Source organism: Homo sapiens, chromosome 8 (genome assembly GCF_000001405.40).
Source record: "Homo sapiens chromosome 8, GRCh38.p14 Primary Assembly".
NCBI classification, from domain to species: domain Eukaryota; kingdom Metazoa; phylum Chordata; class Mammalia; order Primates; family Hominidae; genus Homo; species Homo sapiens.
Window position 1 is genome coordinate 61410669 of NC_000008.11, and position 18804 is coordinate 61429472.

At 41.6% G+C, this 18804-nt stretch overlaps 1 protein-coding gene across 4 annotated transcripts in view, besides 1 other annotated feature; it reads left to right on the forward strand.

The window, feature by feature from the left end:
* Positions 1–18804, forward strand: part of CLVS1 (clavesin 1) — a 536782-nt gene that overhangs the window by 445821 nt on the left and 72157 nt on the right. The gene's annotated exons all lie outside the window — the stretch shown is intronic.
* Positions 12107–12624: an enhancer, noted in NCBI's record as "NANOG hESC enhancer chr8:62335334-62335851 (GRCh37/hg19 assembly coordinates)". NCBI's record gives its function as "activates a minimal SCP1, AML or CMV promoter by ChIP-STARR-seq in naive H9 embryonic stem cells {active_cell/tissue: H9 hESC(naive)}" and the evidence as "EXISTENCE:reporter gene assay evidence [ECO:0000049][PMID:30033119]".

Sequence of the window (18804 nt, forward strand, 5' to 3'; positions counted from 1 at the left end):
TCTTGCTCTGTCACCCCGGCTGGAGTGCAGTGGCATAATCTTGGCTCACTGCAGCCTCCGCCTCCTGGGTTCAAGCAATTCTCCTGCCTCAGCCTCCCGAGTAGCTGGGACTACAGGCGTGAACCACCACAACCAGCTGATTTTTGTATTTTTAGTACAGAGGGGATTTCACCATGTTGGCCAGGCTGGTCTTGAACTCCTGACCTCAAGTGATCCGCCTGCCTTAGCCTCCCAAAGTGCTGGGATTACAGGTGTGAGCCACCACATCCAGACAAATTTCATTATTAAAACTGACATTTGTGGGCACTGAGAACCTTGTTCTCCTCCTACGCTTGTGCTCTCCTCCTATTTGTCAGATGGACAAATGCAGTGCTTTTTAAAGCTTCCACATGTGGGGGACCTATATCTGCATTCTAGGCTGTTGGATCCAAATCCTACAAGTTGTTCTGGAGAGCAAATAATCATTAAGTTTTTGTAGATTCACTATAGAAATATATGCTTCCAAGAATGTGTGTAGGAGAAATAAACATAAAGGACATAAGGAAAAAGAAAAAATAAAAAAGTCGTTGTTCAGGTTCCAGAGGTTGTTGCTTGGCTTTGAGCAAAGCACTGAATTCCTCCTGTCTGCAAGGCAGCCTCTGCCCACCCTGGCCCTGTGCTGTGAAGTGACAGGTAAGCCCCTGACAGCTAGAGAAATTAACACAGAAGCAAGGCTCTATGTTTCCTCCCCTTTCTGAGCAGTGGAGACAGAGGCTGGGTGGGATAGAGAGAAGGAGAGAGAGAAGATAGAGAAGAGACTGCAGGAGCAGAGAGAGAGAAGGGGGATAAGATAGAGAAATAAATTAAACACACAGGAAGAAAACTTCAAAAACCCTATGCCGAGGCAGCAGCTCTCCAGGACTAGTAATATTGTAGTCATTTTTAAGAACCTCAGGCACTGACAGCATTTTCTCTGTGGGTACTTCTAAAGAGGGATAGTCCTGTCACATTTGTGGTCACAGGTCACAGGAGTGGGAGCCCTGGCAAACCTCCTTTACTGGATGAGCCCTGGCCTTTCATCCTGAGGCCTCCCATGGTGGGTCACCTTCCTTCTCTTCTCAGTCCCTAGTTCAGGGCTGTCATGCAGCAGAGATGTCGCCCCATGTGGTGCTTCAGAGTCTGGGAGTGGCCTGGGCATTTGGATCAGAAGATGCAAATCCAGCACCCACCACAACCCACCTTGGGCATTTTGGGTATCTGAGGGTCACCCTCATCCCTTCCTATAACATACTGTGAGGGTGGAGGTGGGCCAAGTACTCCGTGCTGGAAACCGGGAAAAAGGCCCAAGGGGCAGGGAAGCCTTCACTGAGACAGGGTGAAGGCCAGGGCTGGCCAGTGGATGGAGGCCTGGCCTCTTCCTAGCAGTGATCATCTTAACACACATTAGCAAATATTTCTTCAGCATTCACACCACACTAGGTCCTGGGGATAAAATGATGGGAAAGGCAAAGTTCCATCCTTACAGAAAGTGATGATTTGGTGGAGGATGTGAATATATATACCAGTAATTAAGACATACATTTTTCATTATTTCTAATAAAAACGTTAAATGTTAAAAAAGAGCACACATACTATGAGATATGTACTGACAACCACAGAAACACAGGGACAGGACCAAATCAAAGAAAAAGCAAAAACAAAGTACTGTGAAGGTTTGAAAAAAACAAATGACCACATGTTGTGGGGGTCTCAGTGGAGACTTTGGGAGGAGGAGGATTTGACTCAGGCTTTCACTCAGACCTCAGAAAATAGGTTGAATTATGTCAGAAGCTCTGTATAGGTATCTACTGTGGCTATAAGAAGGGATTACTGGTAGGGGTGGGGCTGGGAGGCATTCCATGGCATTCAAGAATCTTCCTTACTTGTGCACAGCTCACGTGCTCTCAGGTATGCTGGCAGTGCATCTTGTAACAACCGGAGATGGGGCAGCCTCCTGCTTCTCTGCCGTTGCACCTCCACTGGTAATGTAACAACAGTCCCAGCAGACACACGTGTTCCAGGAACAACAGGAGCCAGTTTAGCTAAGACTAAACCACACAGAAGGGGAGGTAGTGAGAAATTAGGCTAAGACCTGGGTTTGAGTTACCTTTTTAGAGGACCTTGAATGTCAGCTAATGAGTCAAGAACTGGTATTAAGAAGCTCTAAATTTGTTAGCTTTTCCTAAACCTTCCTATCAGAATCACCATAGAGGTCACTAAATTGCAAATCTTCATTCTCCTTTGATTATACTAGTTTTTCCCCCACGCTAATAATGGATGCTTATTTCCTCTTCAATTTTTGCCTTCCTGACTTATGTTTAGAAGCTTTGGTGCATTTTTGGATTTAATATTTTGATTTAATCTATGTATGAATGATCCCTAAGTGCTGTGGTAAACAACTTGTTATTTTGTTGAGGCCTTTGAAATTAGCGAGTCTGGAGAAGTAGCATTTCACTTAGTACTGAGAGGGTGGAGCCCAGCCCAAGATCTATATCCCAGTCCCATTTGAGTTCTATTTGAAACCCCTGGTAGAAGATTTATTTTATGGGCAACTCATATGCTACAGTAATATTCACAAAATACAAAGAATATATTATATTCCATTAGTATTGCAATACAGTTGTTTTTGGTTATTCATGGCTGTTGTCCTGAACCCCTATTAACTTCAGCAGGAAAGGTACCAGATTCAAGAGGCCAAAGAAGAGACCCAGAGCCAGCTAATGAGACATGGGGTTTTATTCAAGGCTTACATACAGGGGAAAGAGTCCAGAGATGGTGGGCTGGACAGGAGAACCGCATTAATTACAGAAATGATCCAGCAGCAGTGGGATGGACACGATCGTCCCCTTACCTACAGTCCAGTGGTGGCAGGCCGGGCAGAAAAACTGCAACTGATTACAAACAGCATGCAGTTTATATAGTATTTTCCCTTAACACCCTCCCCTTAACAACCTCCATCTGGCAACCTTCATGTAACCCAAAACTCAAGGCTTCAATTCCTTGTATGGCTTGTGTTTCATGGGATGGACTGGGGGCTCAGGTGTTCCTCATAGACAAGGAACAAATCTGTGGGTTGGCTACTCCCAGATTCTCTAGCTTGGACTAACATTCAGGTGTGTCTGCCATGCAGGGCCATTCTAAGGATACGTTCAAGGTACTGCCACCAGAGGCATTTACCCTACAATGGCTAATGCACAGGTGCCTCCTTAATCCCAAATATATATTTTCAGGGAGTTACTGATGATTCCAGAAATGTGATTGCTATTCTGGGCACTGAACTTACAGGGAACTGCATTTCTAGTTTCAGACAACTGATTAATAAATTAGCCTGGAGGACCTAGACAATCAACAGATATTGGGATGTGAGTATGGTGTGTGCCCAAAAATGGTAATAAGAACAACATGAAATAAAATTAAATGAGGGGAGGGAAAAATAAATCTGGCTTCCTGCCCCAAAGTGGCTCACACCCTTGTAAGAAAGATAGATATATGAACAAATAATTACAAAGAAAACTGAGTGTATGATAATAAAGGCATTCCCAAGTTGCTATGAAATTCTGAGAATGGAATGCATAACGTGAGAGTTGGTGTGATTAGAATTAAGAAAGTCTCCGTGGCTGAAGTTGGATATGCCAGGGGATTTTCAACAATAAATAGGTTATTAAAGATGAAGAAGACAGAAAAGGGCACTGCAGCTTCACTTGGAATTTACCGAAATTGTTTTTTTTTTTTCATATTTTTCCATTCTTTTTTTCTACTTATATTGAGCTGAGATTTTTTAATGGCACAAAGTGGGGACAGAATGAGGTATCTTTGATAAACAAAGATGTATTGTGACCTGCCAGGTCTCTGAGTTGTTTCTCCAAGAGATTGAGAAATGCCCTCTGTTTTGGCTGGGGCTGCGAGTAGGTCAGAGTCTCCCAGACTGTTATAAGGGACCAGCTCTTCTTACCTTTGTCTTTACTGTTACCAACCTATAATCAACTAAGGAAAGCTGAAGTCCACAGATGAAGAGAAAGAGAAACACCCTCAAGGTGTTGAGAGTTAATATGATTAAAATGAGCCCATCTGTGCAGGCACAAACCCTCACTGATCCTCTCAGTCAGGTAGCTTCCCCCAGGCCTGCTTGGACAGATGAGATGTCAAATGTGCTTCTCATCCTCACAGCACCTGCCTCTGCTCTAGGTTTTCCAGCCAGGGACAATTACCTACTTAACAGGCAATTTATTAACATATTTTATAGATTCATAAAGTTTAACTTATTCTCCTTACTTCATTGTAAGCCACAGAGTGGCAGTAGTTAGGAGCCATTTGAGGTTGGGAAATGGGAATAGTTAACCGAGGTTTCCCAGTCCAAAAAACCGAGCGATTGCAATGCTGCTCTGGGCAAAGGCCCAAGGCTTTTGGCTTAATTATGCTCGCTGGCTCTTGCCTCATCTGTATTCTGAGACCTTTTCCCCTCAAAACACTTCTCTCTGTTTTTCTCTACTCTCACAGGCTTCGTTACTTCACATTGGACCCACTTTTTGTGTTATTCATTTCTGCCTAACACTTCCCTGAGGGTAGGAGCAAAGGGGGCAGCCTCTGAGTGGTGGCCCAGGTGGCCACCCAGCATAGCCCCATGCTAGAAGCTGGGGCACCTGCCCTGGAGGTCACAGCATCTAGGGCTGTACTGCTGTCACAATCCCAATCTCTTCATTTTGCAGTAATCAACTTGTGGTGGGATATTATCTAGTAAAATGGGGTAAAATCTGTAAGCAGAAAAAATGACACTAGGACATTCTCAATTGTCTTTCAAATGATTATGGCTAAGCCATCTAAAGGTAAAAAACTTTATTCAAACACATCAAAATAATCAACTGTTCCATAGATTCTCCCCTCCTTGTCATCAAAAATTCCTGGGCAACTGCTCATGGGATCACAGAGCTTCCAGGATGTTAGCAGAACTGTAGTATTCCAGGGGCCTTAGAGCAGCATCTTCCACGGGTGCCGGTAAATGCTCCATGCTGTTTGCTTTCACACATGCACAATGTTTCCAATGACTGGCCACCTACCCTCTTCATTGAAGAGATGAAGTTAATTGCACATGTGTAATTAACAAGGGAACAGACTAGTGATCCCAAATGGTGCACAAGATGATCCACTGACGGATAGGAAGAAAAATTTTATTTCCTATCTCCATTGATTTTTATCCATACATTAATTTGTGCATGAATACACACTAACAAAAAGTTTGGAGACCCCTGCACTAGAACCTGACCAGCACAAAACAAAGCCTGGTGAATCCTCTGTAACACTCATCCAAAGCATACGTGCATGGATGCTTTCCTGCTATGTGTGGGCTGACTGGGGGTTCCCAGACAACACTTGGACTAGAGCTAAGAGGAATCCTAGCCACCTGCAGATGTGGAGACATGTGCTTACATGACAAGGTTATGGGACTTGTAAAAGAAGAAAATAAATAACAATCTTCCTGTTTTGCTTAATTTATGGAATTTGAGAATTATACATCTATTTGCAATAGTGATATTTTTCTATTACCATTTTTTCCCTAGATTTCAACAATGGTTTCCTAGAAAGCATTAGTTGAACAAGATAGCTAGCTAGCTAGCTAGCTAGATACATACATACATACATACATACATACATACATACATACATACATACATATTCCCATGCCTAGAATAAATACTAGAACAATAGGTGGGGAAAATAATGAATTTTGTATTGGTTCATCCCAAGAGGATCTGTCACTATGTTCAAGGCCTTCATTCTTCTCTATTTTTGCTGTCTTGCAAAATATGAAACACTGATGTAAAACACCCTATTGAGTCTCACATCTCTGTATAATGGGCATTAGCTCCATCAAAAAGAGCAAGAGAAACACCCAAGAAGTGCTGAGAGTTAATGTGATTACAATGAGCCCATCTATGCAGGAACAAACCTTCACTGACCCCTCAGGCAAGTAGCTTCCCCCAGGCCTGCTTGGACAAAACATGTGCAATCAATGGACAGAGCTTCCACCTAGTAATGCAAGAATGGAAAAGGGGTAACCTGAGCAACCATGGAAACCTTCCTTGATGCAGTTGCCAGCTGAAGCAGCTCCACTTTTCTTTGATTATTTACCGTAATCTACCAGATTATGGTTCTATACCTTGGGCTTTAAAGATGAAATTTAGTCTTGTGAGATGAAAAGTTCCGTCAGCCAGAATTCTAGAGAGTTTGAGAGGGTGGAAGAGGGATTTGGCCAAGGCAGCGTGAAGTTGATTCTTAAGAGAATAGCAAGCCCAGTGGAAGCCACTTCTCACTGTGTAGCAAGGGAGGTAATTGACAGCAGTGGTGACACAGGAATGGAGAAGGAGAAAATGATCTGAGGGCATACTTGGCATAAGGAGACAGAGAATGACAAAAGAGATGGGGAAGACAGGCAGGATGAGTGTCAAGGGGAGACCATGGGCTGGAGAGAGAAGAGAAATCTTGCTTGGGAGTTGCTGCAGGGCATGGAATGAGGAGGAGAAAGACAATGATCTCTAAACATGAAATTAAGAAATTCAGCTTAACATTAAGAAAGCATCTGCATCCTCCACTCCGGCCACTTGTGAAAAGCACTAAATACAACACTGTATTTAAGAAACATGGAATACATCTGAATCTATGCTATATTTTTTTCTCCCAGACGTTTTTTTCTTTGAATGTGATACAAAGCAGAAATTGAACCACGTAAAAGTTTAATTTTGCTCCACCTGTTGGACTTTCTGGTGTTCTGGCAAGACTGCTTGAAGTGCCAAAGTTTTCTGGCTGCTTACCTGCCCAACTACAGGTGCACTGAATTTCTTTGACCACTGTGGGATGTCACCACTATAAAATCACTCCTCTTTTCAAAGAGCCTTCCATGGAGAAAGTAAAGACTCCTCAGTATATAAATTAATTTTTACTGGCATAAAATATAAAAAGCTATTCAAAACAGAGAATCAGGTCAGAAAATATCTTATGGCATCTTCCAACTAGGTACTCACAATGCAAAATTATCCATACCTACAAATAAGAGTCACCCTTAACCTACTTCCTTGTGCCAGAGCTGGGTGCTGTGGCCTGAGAGCCATCTGATGATAGCCATGAGCTCTCAGGGGATCTGGATTCAGAAGGAGAAACCTTGAAAGGGTTATAAAGACCTTGGTGTCTTCCACCTGGTGGCTGTCCTCACTCTTAGAGCCAACAGGTGTACAGTCAGTCCTTTCAGTCAAAATGTCTTATCCCCTGGTCCCAGAGCATTTCATGTTGCTTTGGTACACTGCCCTAAATCCTAATAAGTTGCAATGTGCTTGTTCTACAGAAAGGATACAGCTGCCAGGGGCAGAAATCTTGCTCTCAACCAGAAGATCTGGAAGGGAGCCCGGCTCTGCCTGCTACTGCCCCTGTCACCTGAGCAGATACTGGCTTTCCCCCAGGTTCAGTTTCTTCAACCATAAAAATGAGGAATTGCTGGTCTCAACCTCATAGGATTATTAATTTTTTTAATGTAAAATTTATATTAGAGTCAGGCATGTTGGTGTGCAACTGTAATCCTTGCTGAGGAGGCTGAGGCAGGAGGATCGCTTGAACCCACGAGTTTGTGACCAGCCTGGGCAACATAATGAGACCCCAACTCAAAAAAAACCAACTATTTGTTATTACTTAAATTGCAGAAATAATGCATGCTTTTTTTACCTAATGAATCAGGTGCTAACACCTGTTACCTAACAAAGCCAAATAAAAGCAAAGACAATTTTCTCCCTTACCCCCTCCATTACCACTCTTCTGCTATAGGCAATACACATTCTATTACTAATGTATATTCTTCTACCCTTTCTCCATACTCATACAAACATAGATAAATAAATATGGTGGAATTTCATTTTTACCAAATAATACCCACAATATATACATTATTCTGAAATTAGATTTTTTCCCACTCAATATATTGTTGTTTTGAGGAGCATATGAAATGAGACTCATGAAAGAGCTTGATAAATTGTAGTCACCACTCTTTGAAGCTTACAAGATGATCAGGTAGCTTGGAATTAGGTCACTCAACTTACTCTCCCTAACATCAACAAGAGAGCAGCTGAGTGAAGGAATGAGTGAGAGTTGATTGAACACGAGTAAGTCAGTAATGCTGTTGCAGAGAATGCAAAATTGCCACATATGCCTGCCCTGGATGGAGGCTGCATCAGTGCCAACAATGTGAGGACCCAGGGGCTGGGGAAGAAGCGTGCCAGGAACACATTGTCCATGTTTGGCCCTAGAACCAAGTACACTGGCCTGGCACAAAGTGGCCAATAAATATGGGATGAGATGGGAGAGGTGTTGGATGAATTAATGAATAAATCAGTGAGCTTTGAAAAGAACAAATGAAGGCACAAACAAGGCCACAAATAAAAATCATTTATTGGCTGGGCGTGGTGTCTCATGTCTGTAATCCCAGCACTGTAGGAAGCCGAGGCGAATGGATCATGAGGTCAGGAATTCAAGACCAGCCTGACTAATGTGGTGAAACCCCATCTCTACTAAAAATACGAAAATTAGCTGGGCATGGTGGCAGCTGCCTGTAATCCCAGCTACTCAGGAGGCTGCGGCAGGAGAATCGCTTGAACCCAGGAGGCGAAAGTTGCAGTGAGCCGAGATCACGCCACTGCACTCCAGCCTGGGTGACAGAGCAAGACTCCGTCTCAAAAAAAAAAAAAAAAAAAATATTTAAAAGGTGTTGTGGTGAAAATGAGAAAGAAAATAATGAGGGAAAATGGGGAATTTTTTCCAAGAGAGTTGAAGATGCATTTGAATAAGCAATGCAAAAAATTGCTGACATGCTGAAGGCTGATGGCAGGGGACCTGTACTTGTTTCACCAGCCAAGGGAACTCCAGAGCTGAACTGGAAACCAGGCTTCTCCTTTACCTTTTGACATTAATACAGTTTAACATACTGCTTTGGAAACCTCCTCAGGGAAACCTGCCTCTGAAAGCAGCTGACTCTAGGAGCTGAATACCTTAGTTATTCTCTTTTTCTTTCTTTAGGTCTCTGTAGGCTCTCAGGCTTTCCTGGCATAGCGTCCTGATTCCAGATGCTTCTGCACTGCTCCTGTTAAACTTAACTGCATATCTGCAAACTGCCTGTCAAAGACATGACATCCAAAGGGTCCAAGACTGACTTCTAAACTAGAGTTTCTAAGAATAATTTCCTAACCCCTTGATATTTGCTGTTCACCTATTAGCATTATTAAATAAGCTTGTGAATATTGGCTTTATGGTAAAGAGCAAGTAACCTACCTGTTATTTATACAAGTCTGGAACCTTTAAAACTGATTATTATTATCTAATATCTTTCAATAACTTTCCTCCCTTTTATTTCATGGAACTCATACTCAACATAGGAATTCCTGAGTCAGACTGCCTGCATTCAAATTCTGACTCCAAAGTTTGTAGGTCTTAGGGTAGGTTAGTTAACCTCTCTGTGACTCAATTTTCTCACTCATACAACGGAACTGATAATATATTGCCTTTCATAGGGTTGCTACAAAAAGCATGTGACAGACGGTCTGACATATGGTAAATACCCAGTAAAGGTTGAAAAACAAGCCTTTAAAAAAACATTGTTGGCCGGGTGCGGTGGCTCACGCCTGTAATCCCAGCACTTTGGGAGGCTGAGGCAGGCAGATCATGAGGTCAGGAGTTCGAGACCAGACTGCCTGGCCAATATGGTGAAACCCTGTCTGTACCAAAAATACAAAAATTAGCTGGGCATAGTGTCTCCTGCCTGTAGTCCGAGCTACTCGGGAGGCTGAGGCAAAAGAATCGCTTGAACCCGGGAGGCGGAGGTTGCAGTGAGCCGAGATCGCACCACTGCACTCCAGCCTGGGCAACAGAGCGAGATTCCATCTCAAAAATAGAAAAAAAAGTCATTATTTTAGGAATGATGTCTATTAATCATTAATTTATGTTTATATTGAATACTCAAAAACATATGCGGCCAGGCACGGTGGTCACACCTGTAATTCCAGCACTTCGGTAGGCTGAGGCGGGCGGATCACCTGAAGTCAGGAGTTTGAGACCAGCCTGCCCAACATGGTGAAACGCCATCTCTACTGAAAATACAAAAATTAGCTGGGCATGGTGGCGGGCACCTGTAATCCCAGCTACCCTTGGGAGGCTGAGGCAGGAGAATCACTTGAACCCAGGAGGCAGAGGTTGCAGTGAGCCGAGATCGCACCACTGCATTCCAGCCTGGGCAACAAGAATGAAAGTCCATCTCAAAAACAAACAAAGAAACAAACAAAAATCAAAAACAAACAAAAATATGCAACTGAGTATGCAAGTTGAGAGAAATAGAAATTTAAAACTAGCATCAAATGTAGGGTTGTTTTTGCTTTTGAGGTGCATTAGAGGTGGTTGGTGCTTTGGTTGGGATAAAAGTTCCATTCTGAGGCAGACTCTTTGAAACATTGAAAGTAGATGCCTAGAACCGAACCCCTCAGAGTACTCCAGCTGGATGCCACTGCTCAAATCATGGACTGAGGGGCTGTAAATGCACAGCTGTACCACCACAAGCATCACTCAGCAAACGATGATTGTCATGGTGCAGCAAAGTGGGCCTGGTGAGGAGTATATAAAGCAATGCCCTGCAGAATAAAGACAAAAATAAAGCAACGATACACTAGAGCTATAAGTCCACTCGGGTCCTCTCAGAGGGTGGTACATGTGTGGGGTGTTTCTCCAGCAATAGAGCCATCCTCCACCTACAGGGTAGCCCACATCTGGCTGATTCTGATGAAAGCAATCCCTATCACTCCTGAGCTGAACTCAGGTTGTTTCCAATCTAAGCTAACTACAATGCCCTAGCACTGTGAAAGGGACTAAATTTTTCAATTTATCATTAACCCAGCTATACCATTCCTAAGTGCACAGCAGGCAGGCTCAACTCTGCCGGATGTGGTGTCCAGCTGAACAGGTTTCTGTATGTGTTCCACTTCCTTATAGGACCAACTTCACAGCCCCTCAATCAATTTCCATCTCCTTCTCTGGAAATAAAACAATGACATGCTGTTGCTGCCTTTTCATGTTGGAAGCCAATGCTTGTAGTGAAATGTGAAGAGAGAGCCAATTGCTACTTCACCTCTCTGTGGTCGTGCTAGGAACCTTCATTCTGTAGTGAAATGGAAAGATCCAGCTAAAGCAGACTCCTTCATGGGATGAGGATCTTACAGCACTACTTCCTGCTGTGAACACGTGAATTGAAACATCAGACCCACATCTGAAAATATTGGGCTTTAGTCAGGAAACTGTTCAAATAATCAAAGAAGATTTTCTTGCTTGGAAAATAGTGTGAACTGGATGATTCTACCTCAGTTCTGAGTGTGATTCCTTTTGCCAGGTTGATTTTTTTTTTTTTGAAGAACATTTTTTCTCCAGTTTTAAAGGCCCTCAAAAGTAGAGTGGATTACATTCAACTTTCTAATTAGAAGCAAGAAAAAAAACTTAAAGGATCTCTGAATAGTCTGACCTAATGTCAATGGGCATATACATACATGTGTGAAATTGGAGATTACACATCTGCTAACATAACGTGAACTCAGTCATTTAGTGACTATTTACCAAGTCCTCTCTAGTTCCTGATGTTGAGTTGAGTGCTGGGTCTGCAGCACGTGAAGCATGTGTGATGTCTCCATCATGGGGAATGGGATCCAGAGGAGAGGAAAACAGGACAAATAAATAAATAATTAAAGATCATAGTCCGTGCACAAAGAAGAGAAAATGAATCAATGTTATTTGCCTTGATAAAAAATTATCCTTAATTAAGCTTTCCTCCTATTAGTCTCCATCATTTTGTCCAATTGCTTCAGCTGTTTTCTTTTAAGGCCTAATGTATACCTAGTGCTTAGCTTTCCACCTGAAAACACAAACCGTAGAAGTTCCAGTGAGGAACCATATAGTATTTGAATAGGGTTACCTAGAATATGGAGGAAAACAAGTGATGGAATAAAAGTATGAAATCACTTTTGAAATATGAATCACTTTATGAAATAATCATATAGGGAAACTTCTTAACTGAACAGACTCTTTAAACCCCAGGATCAGTTGTTTGTGCTCTGGAAGACTAACCGAAAGAGTAAAAGCAGAGGAAACCTGCTGATAGCTGTGTTCCCTGGTCTACCCTCTTGAGTTAGTGAAACAACAGCAGGCACCTAAAAAAGAAAAGAGATAAGCCCCTTCCCCGGTGGACTGTGCTCCGGGTGGGAAATCCCTCCTACAGAGAGCTGAGTGACCAGGAGGGAGTCTTTTGGAAGATGAATGGACTGCTATTAGACTTCAGGGTCCACTGATTGTTCTTAATGGGAAGCTACAAGGATCAAAGTGCATCTCAAAGCATTGTCAGAATGAGCCCAATGCACCTTGCACTGTCCCACCCCTCCTCCTCTGACCCTTCCTGCCGAGGTCACTTCCCTATTAGTCAACTGCCCCCACCTCAACCCCTGGGCTTTTTCCCAGTCTGTGGCATCAGAACTAGGTACTTATTTCTTTAGTGCCTCATGTAATCCTGATATTCATATGAAGTTCCCACTGCTTTAACATTAGCAGAGTTTAGTGACACTAAAAATTAAAGCATTCCTTAAGCCAGGCCATGTAGAGAATTATTTAATTTACAGAACACTTCCAACTAATGATGCTCATTAGCTTACTCAAAACAAATCATTATGACTTTCACCTCTTTTCTAGGACAGGCCGAGCATAGAAATATTATATAGGGATTTCTTTCTACAGGGGACACCTGCTTTCCTTTTCTCACTTAGTTATAAAATACCTTTCAAAGTGAAACCTTGTCAGTGTTGCATAATTGTGCTTAGAAACGTTTATTCAGTAAGAGAATGCCTGGTAATGAAGAGCGCCCTAAATCTCACCAAGGATGTGTCAAAAAATAAGTGTACAAGTATAAACCTGTATGGAAAAATTGAAAATGTTATATCTGTGCTCCAAATTCTACAAAATGGGCATATGGGTACTGCCCACATAGATTTTATGCAGATTCTTAGTATATTATAAAGTCTACTTATTGGCCACCAATGCACGCACACACACCCTAGTGTCTCTCAGGTATGAATGGACTGAACTAAGGTGGAAATGTAACTTGAGCAACATTAAAGGATGAAAATGGTTAATATGCAAATATGAGAATAATATTTTTCTGTATGTGGCAAAGGTATGTAATTTAGAAATAGTAATTTGCCGAGACATGGAAACATATATCAACATTTTATGACATTATTATTTGAGGCTTCAGAACACAATTTATAACCTCTATCTTCATCTCTCTTCCCTTGCACACGCACACAAACATGCACACACGCATACAGTACAGGGCCACCTGTGACATTGCACTATACACAGATAAACCTGTTAGCAAGTTCACTCATTAGCTCCTGTATTTTTTCCCAAAGTTGTCCACTATAATCATTCACCTGTGTTCTTAAATTGTCTGCCATTATTTGCTTCATTAGTGCCTCTCAGTGAATGCTTGGATTTCACAAAGGTCTTACACTTTCCATGGAGCAAAGCCTTCAGGGTGCTGAGGGTTGTGAGAAAAGCATAGAATTTTCCTTGATAAATGGCTACTCTTCAGCACACAGCACTACAATGAAAGACTAATTCCTAATTTGTTTGTTCTACATGTTCAGCAGCAAAGAACCATAAACACAAACACATAGATGTCAAACTAGCTTAGACTAACTTCTATAAATAAGTTATAATTTGCAGATAATTTATTACCATGTAACAGTAGAAGCTTTATTAACTAAGTAGTAGTCTATGTAGACTTGCCTTTATTACTTATAAAATTGTACTTTTCTTCTAAATTTACTGGTACACAAATATCACAATTAGAGCACGTATAATAGTGCTTTAGTTCTTTTTTTCTGATGTCTTTCCCCCACCAAATTGTATCCTGTTCAAGGGAGACTACACAGTTACTCTATCTTTTTGTCTCCAATATTCCCAGGTACAATGGGTCTTATTAGGTAAAGGTAGCTAAGAATTTGCTGTGCATTCCAGTTATTCTGTCAAAATATGGGTTTTCTGAAGTTGGGACTATTCACAAAAAGGAAATGTACACAGAAGATTATAATAATGAATCTTGAAGATTACATCCCTACCTTTTATGCAATGCAAATAAAATTATCTCTTTCTCCTTGCTATGAGTTATTTATCCACAAGGATATTAAGAATAGAGCACTGACATGATGCTCAAAGTATATGCTCATTGGAGAATTTAGGATTTTGGATTTCCAGATTAGGAATGCTGAACCAGTATGTAATGTAAATATTCCAAAATTTGAAAAGATTTGAAATCTGCAACACTTCAGGTCCCAAGCATTTTGGCTAAGGAATACTCGACCTGTACTACTACTCAAATTTATCAATAAATGTTTGTTGGATGAAAGACCAGATGAACCTGTAGCCCATCTACCAATCCTCTGATACACAAAATATTTTTAATAAGCCCATGCTCATTTGCATTCAGATCTTCTGTTTAAGGTACTTTGCATTTCAAAAGAATAATGTTTTTCTCTATTCTAAGATTATTGTTTTCATTGGGTAGGATGTTAATCCCCTTATTTTCAAGAATAAATCTAATTCATTATACTATGCACAAGGATCTGTATTTTGGATTCTCAAGTTCTAATGTATCTCATCAATATGTATCTCAACAGTGATTTTTTTAAAAAAAATAAGTTTTATTTAGACATAATTCACATGCCACAAAATTCACCCATTTAAAGTGCACAATTCAATGGCTTTTAGTGTATTCACAGAGTATTGCAACCATTACCACTATCTAATTCCAGAATGTTTCATCAACCCAGTAAGAAAACCTGTGACCATTAGCAGTCACCCCCAGTACTCCCCTCCCCTAGCCCCATTTAGCTATATCCCAATTGGGAAAATTATCTTAAAGGCTTTGTTTAATATTTTTTTGTAATTAGAATAAGCAGTGGACTTTTCTGGTGTGGTCATTTATCACTCCTATGCCACTCACTTACTCATTAGCTCTACAAATATTGACTGAATAGTGTCTGGGGCATAAAAGTGAGGGAGAGTAGACAGTTCCACATGTCACATGCTGTTCTTTCTTGAGGAAAGCTCAGACTACAGGGACTATGTCTCATTTCTGTGCTTGATTGCTGTAAGATCAGATACAACACCATTTTGCATGAAGTTAGAGCATTAAGTTACTAGAATACCATCATCTGATGTATCTCACCCTTTAGAGCTGTAATTACACTCTTATAGGGATGCAGATTATGCCTGTGGCCTACAAGTTTATCCAGAGTTAGAACCTGGCTCCAATCAGAAGAGACCACAAGGAATATAAATGAAGAAGCCTGGCACGCTTCCATCTCACACTCCGCCCCTATTCTAATCCCTTTCAGGGGAAACTGACCAGATGTGGCCAGTGAGCACCAATTCCTCATTCCTGTGCACATGTGCCTTCCACTGGGTGGTCCATAGTTTTACCTTAATATACTCAAGTCATTATTTTGAGTATTCTGTTGCACAAATTCTTTGATGTGGGAAAGGCTTACCTAACAGACAATTCCTGCAGTACCTTGTTACTTCTAGCTCACGATTGTGTGCATCACTGCATATGGGCTTATAATATTTACTAATTGTATCCTGTATTTGTCTTATTTTCCCAAATAGATAGCTTGTGTCAGATGTTTCTGTGTCTCTGCCCCATCCCAACACTGTCACCTCGTAGTGTGTCTTCATGCCATTTATGTATGACGATTGATAGGAGTTGGTTTAGTTGTCAGTAGAAAGCCATAGGTTGAATCACCTTTTCTCCTGACCCCCATTTTCTGACAGTATTCAGTGGAGGATCGGGCCCCTGCCAACTGGTATTGCTGAATCCCTGCTTTTGGTCTGCGGTCCTAGTACCGTCTACCACTGGATTTGCCTGGTGTTTGAGGACCTGTCATATGCCTGGCTCTGTGCTAGGTGTTTGAAGACAGCAACCCTCTTCTGTGCTTATCCTGTATCTTCATTTTTATCACTACATTGACCACATGGGGTGAAGGTGAAGGATGTTGGGTTTGCTGTCTTTTTTCCATAGGCTGTGAGCTCCTCATGGGCAGGATAGAGTTTTACACAGAGCCTGGTACACAGGCCCTTAGTATTTGTCATGTGAATAAATAAATTAAAAGGCAGTTGTTAGCAGCTTTCTGACTAGCTAAAAAGACAGCACACATACATTTGAAACAATGAGAGAGCAAAATAGTATCATTTAAAGTGCTAATTATGTAAACCAGACAACTCATAATCCAAATACACTTCAAGTACCCATGGAGTATGGTGTTCACAAAACATTTCAAGTACAATCCAACCACTAAAATTCATTTAAAAGTTGATTAGAGTTTTGTTTGCATCTCTTAAAGAACTTTAAAGGAGATGTAACTCACTCAACAGCAACACTTCATAAAATAAATCATCTTTGTCCTCTCAACTTCTTGTACCCCTTTTTACTCTGCAGCCTATCACTCTCCAGTTCCCACATCTCTCCCCATACCTTCCAGCACCTGCTTTCTTGGTATCTCCCCCTTCCCTTTTTCTCAGTGGCAGACTGAGTTAGCCTTGCTAGCTTCCTTTATTCCCTCGTTCAGTCATTATCCCAAGTCTGTGCCGCAAAATAAGCCTGGACCCAACCCGATGAGCAAGAGAATGAATCTCTCCCCTTTAGAAAGTGAGAGGATGGGGAGGGGAAACAGTAAACAGCAGTTGTATAGGGAAAGATGATCAATACTGCAGTATTGGAATATGAATGTTTGTCCTTATGACAAGTGCAATTAAATTGAGAAATGGGGAGACTCTGCCAGGGCTGGTAAGGAGTCTTGCTCTCCATTTTGGGGGTGCTGTGGATTTTATACATTCATCTACTGAATCCTCACAGTCACCTGCAGAATCCTACCAGGAGGAAACTGGGCTCAGAGAGGTTAAGTTATTTGACCCAAACCACTTATAAGTAGCAGCAAAAATGTTTGTGCCTACAATGTGATGTCACATTCTCAAAGATTTCCATAAATATATCCTTTTTGGTAACACTGTTAGGATGGAGCTAGTTGAAATTGTGAAGCAGAAAAAACTAGCAGTTGGCACCTTTGTGCCTTCCATTGCAGGCCTCCTTCTCCGGAGAGCCCTACAAACATTCATCAATGTTCCTTCCTCCGCCCCTGGCACACAGACACACACACGATATGCACCAATAACACAAAACCCAAAACACACTCCAAATCTGCTCCTAGGAAATAATTAAATTAAAACAATTGGAGTGTTACCCTGATAGTGCTGTCTTTATTTTAACAGGAGATAAAGCTCTATGACAAAGGGATGAATGTTTCATGATGCATTTGCCAGTTTCAGAAGAGGTGGAGATTTGTAGTCGTCCCTAAGATAACACCCCATAAGTCACAACTGAGTCCACCTGCTTAGAAGGCGGCTTTTGCATTATTTTCTTTTGTAAATTTGAATGCATTTAGCTGAATTTAGGATGCCCATTGATAACTAAGAAAGAAAATATAAAAAATATTGACATGTGTCAACTGTGTGCTGAAGTCTGTGAAATGCTTGTGTGTATGTGTGTGTGTAAAGAAAGGAGAGAAAGAGCAAAATAAAACTTTTATCTTGAGCAAATATTCAATCACAATACAATGGCTAATAATAAAATAGTAACATGAAACTAAGTAAGAAAGGATGATGGCATTACAACCTCCAGAATAAGAACCTAGGAAATGTGTACCTTCTGAGAATTGTTCCCTTTAAGTATTGGATTTCTCATTTCTTAAGAAAGTGCTTCATGGAGGGCATGTGGCTAGGATAGCAGATTTGAATTGTGCTGATAGAAAAAGGCACATTCCTCCCCTTACAGCGGATTGAAGTGCTCCCTGATGATGTTATCCTGCAGAGAAATATAGTCAACCCCCATTATATGCCAGGGATTGGTCCCAGGACCTCCACATATACCTAAATCTGTGCATACTTAAATCCCACAGTGGGCCCTGCAGAACCTTTGTACAAGAAAAGTTGGCCTTCCCCATAAGCAGGTTTTGCATCCCACAGATATTGATCCACAACTGGTTGAAAAGAATCTGTGTATAAAAGAACCCCACAATTAAAACCCGCGTTATTCAAGGGTCACTCACACACACATACATACACATATTAAGTATATACACATGTAAGTATGTGTATGTGTGTCTTAGTTTGTTTGTGTTGTCATAGCAGAATACCTGAGACTGGGTAATTTATACACGGTAGAAATTTATTTGGTTTACAGTTCCAGAGGTTGAGAAGTCCCATATCAGGGCGCTGGCATCTGGCAAGGATCTTCTTGATGTGTCATTCCATGGTGGAAGGGCAAAAAAGCCTGCCTGCAGCTGGGTGCGGTGGCTCATGCCTGTAATCCCAGCACTTTGGGAGGCCGAGGTAGGTGGATCACAAGGTCAGGAGTTCAAGACCAGCCTGGCCAACATGGTGAAACCCTGTCTCTACTAAAAATACAAAAATTAGCTGGGCGTGGTTGCTCATGCCTGTAATCTCAGCTACATGGGAGGCTGAGGCAGGAGAATCGCTTGAACCTGGGAGGTAGAGGTTGCTGTGAGCTGAGATTGTGCCGCTGCACTCTAGCCTAGGTGACACAGTGAGACTCTGTCTTAAAAAAAAAAAAAAAAAAAAAAAAGCCTGCAAGAGAAAGGAAAGGGTTAAAAT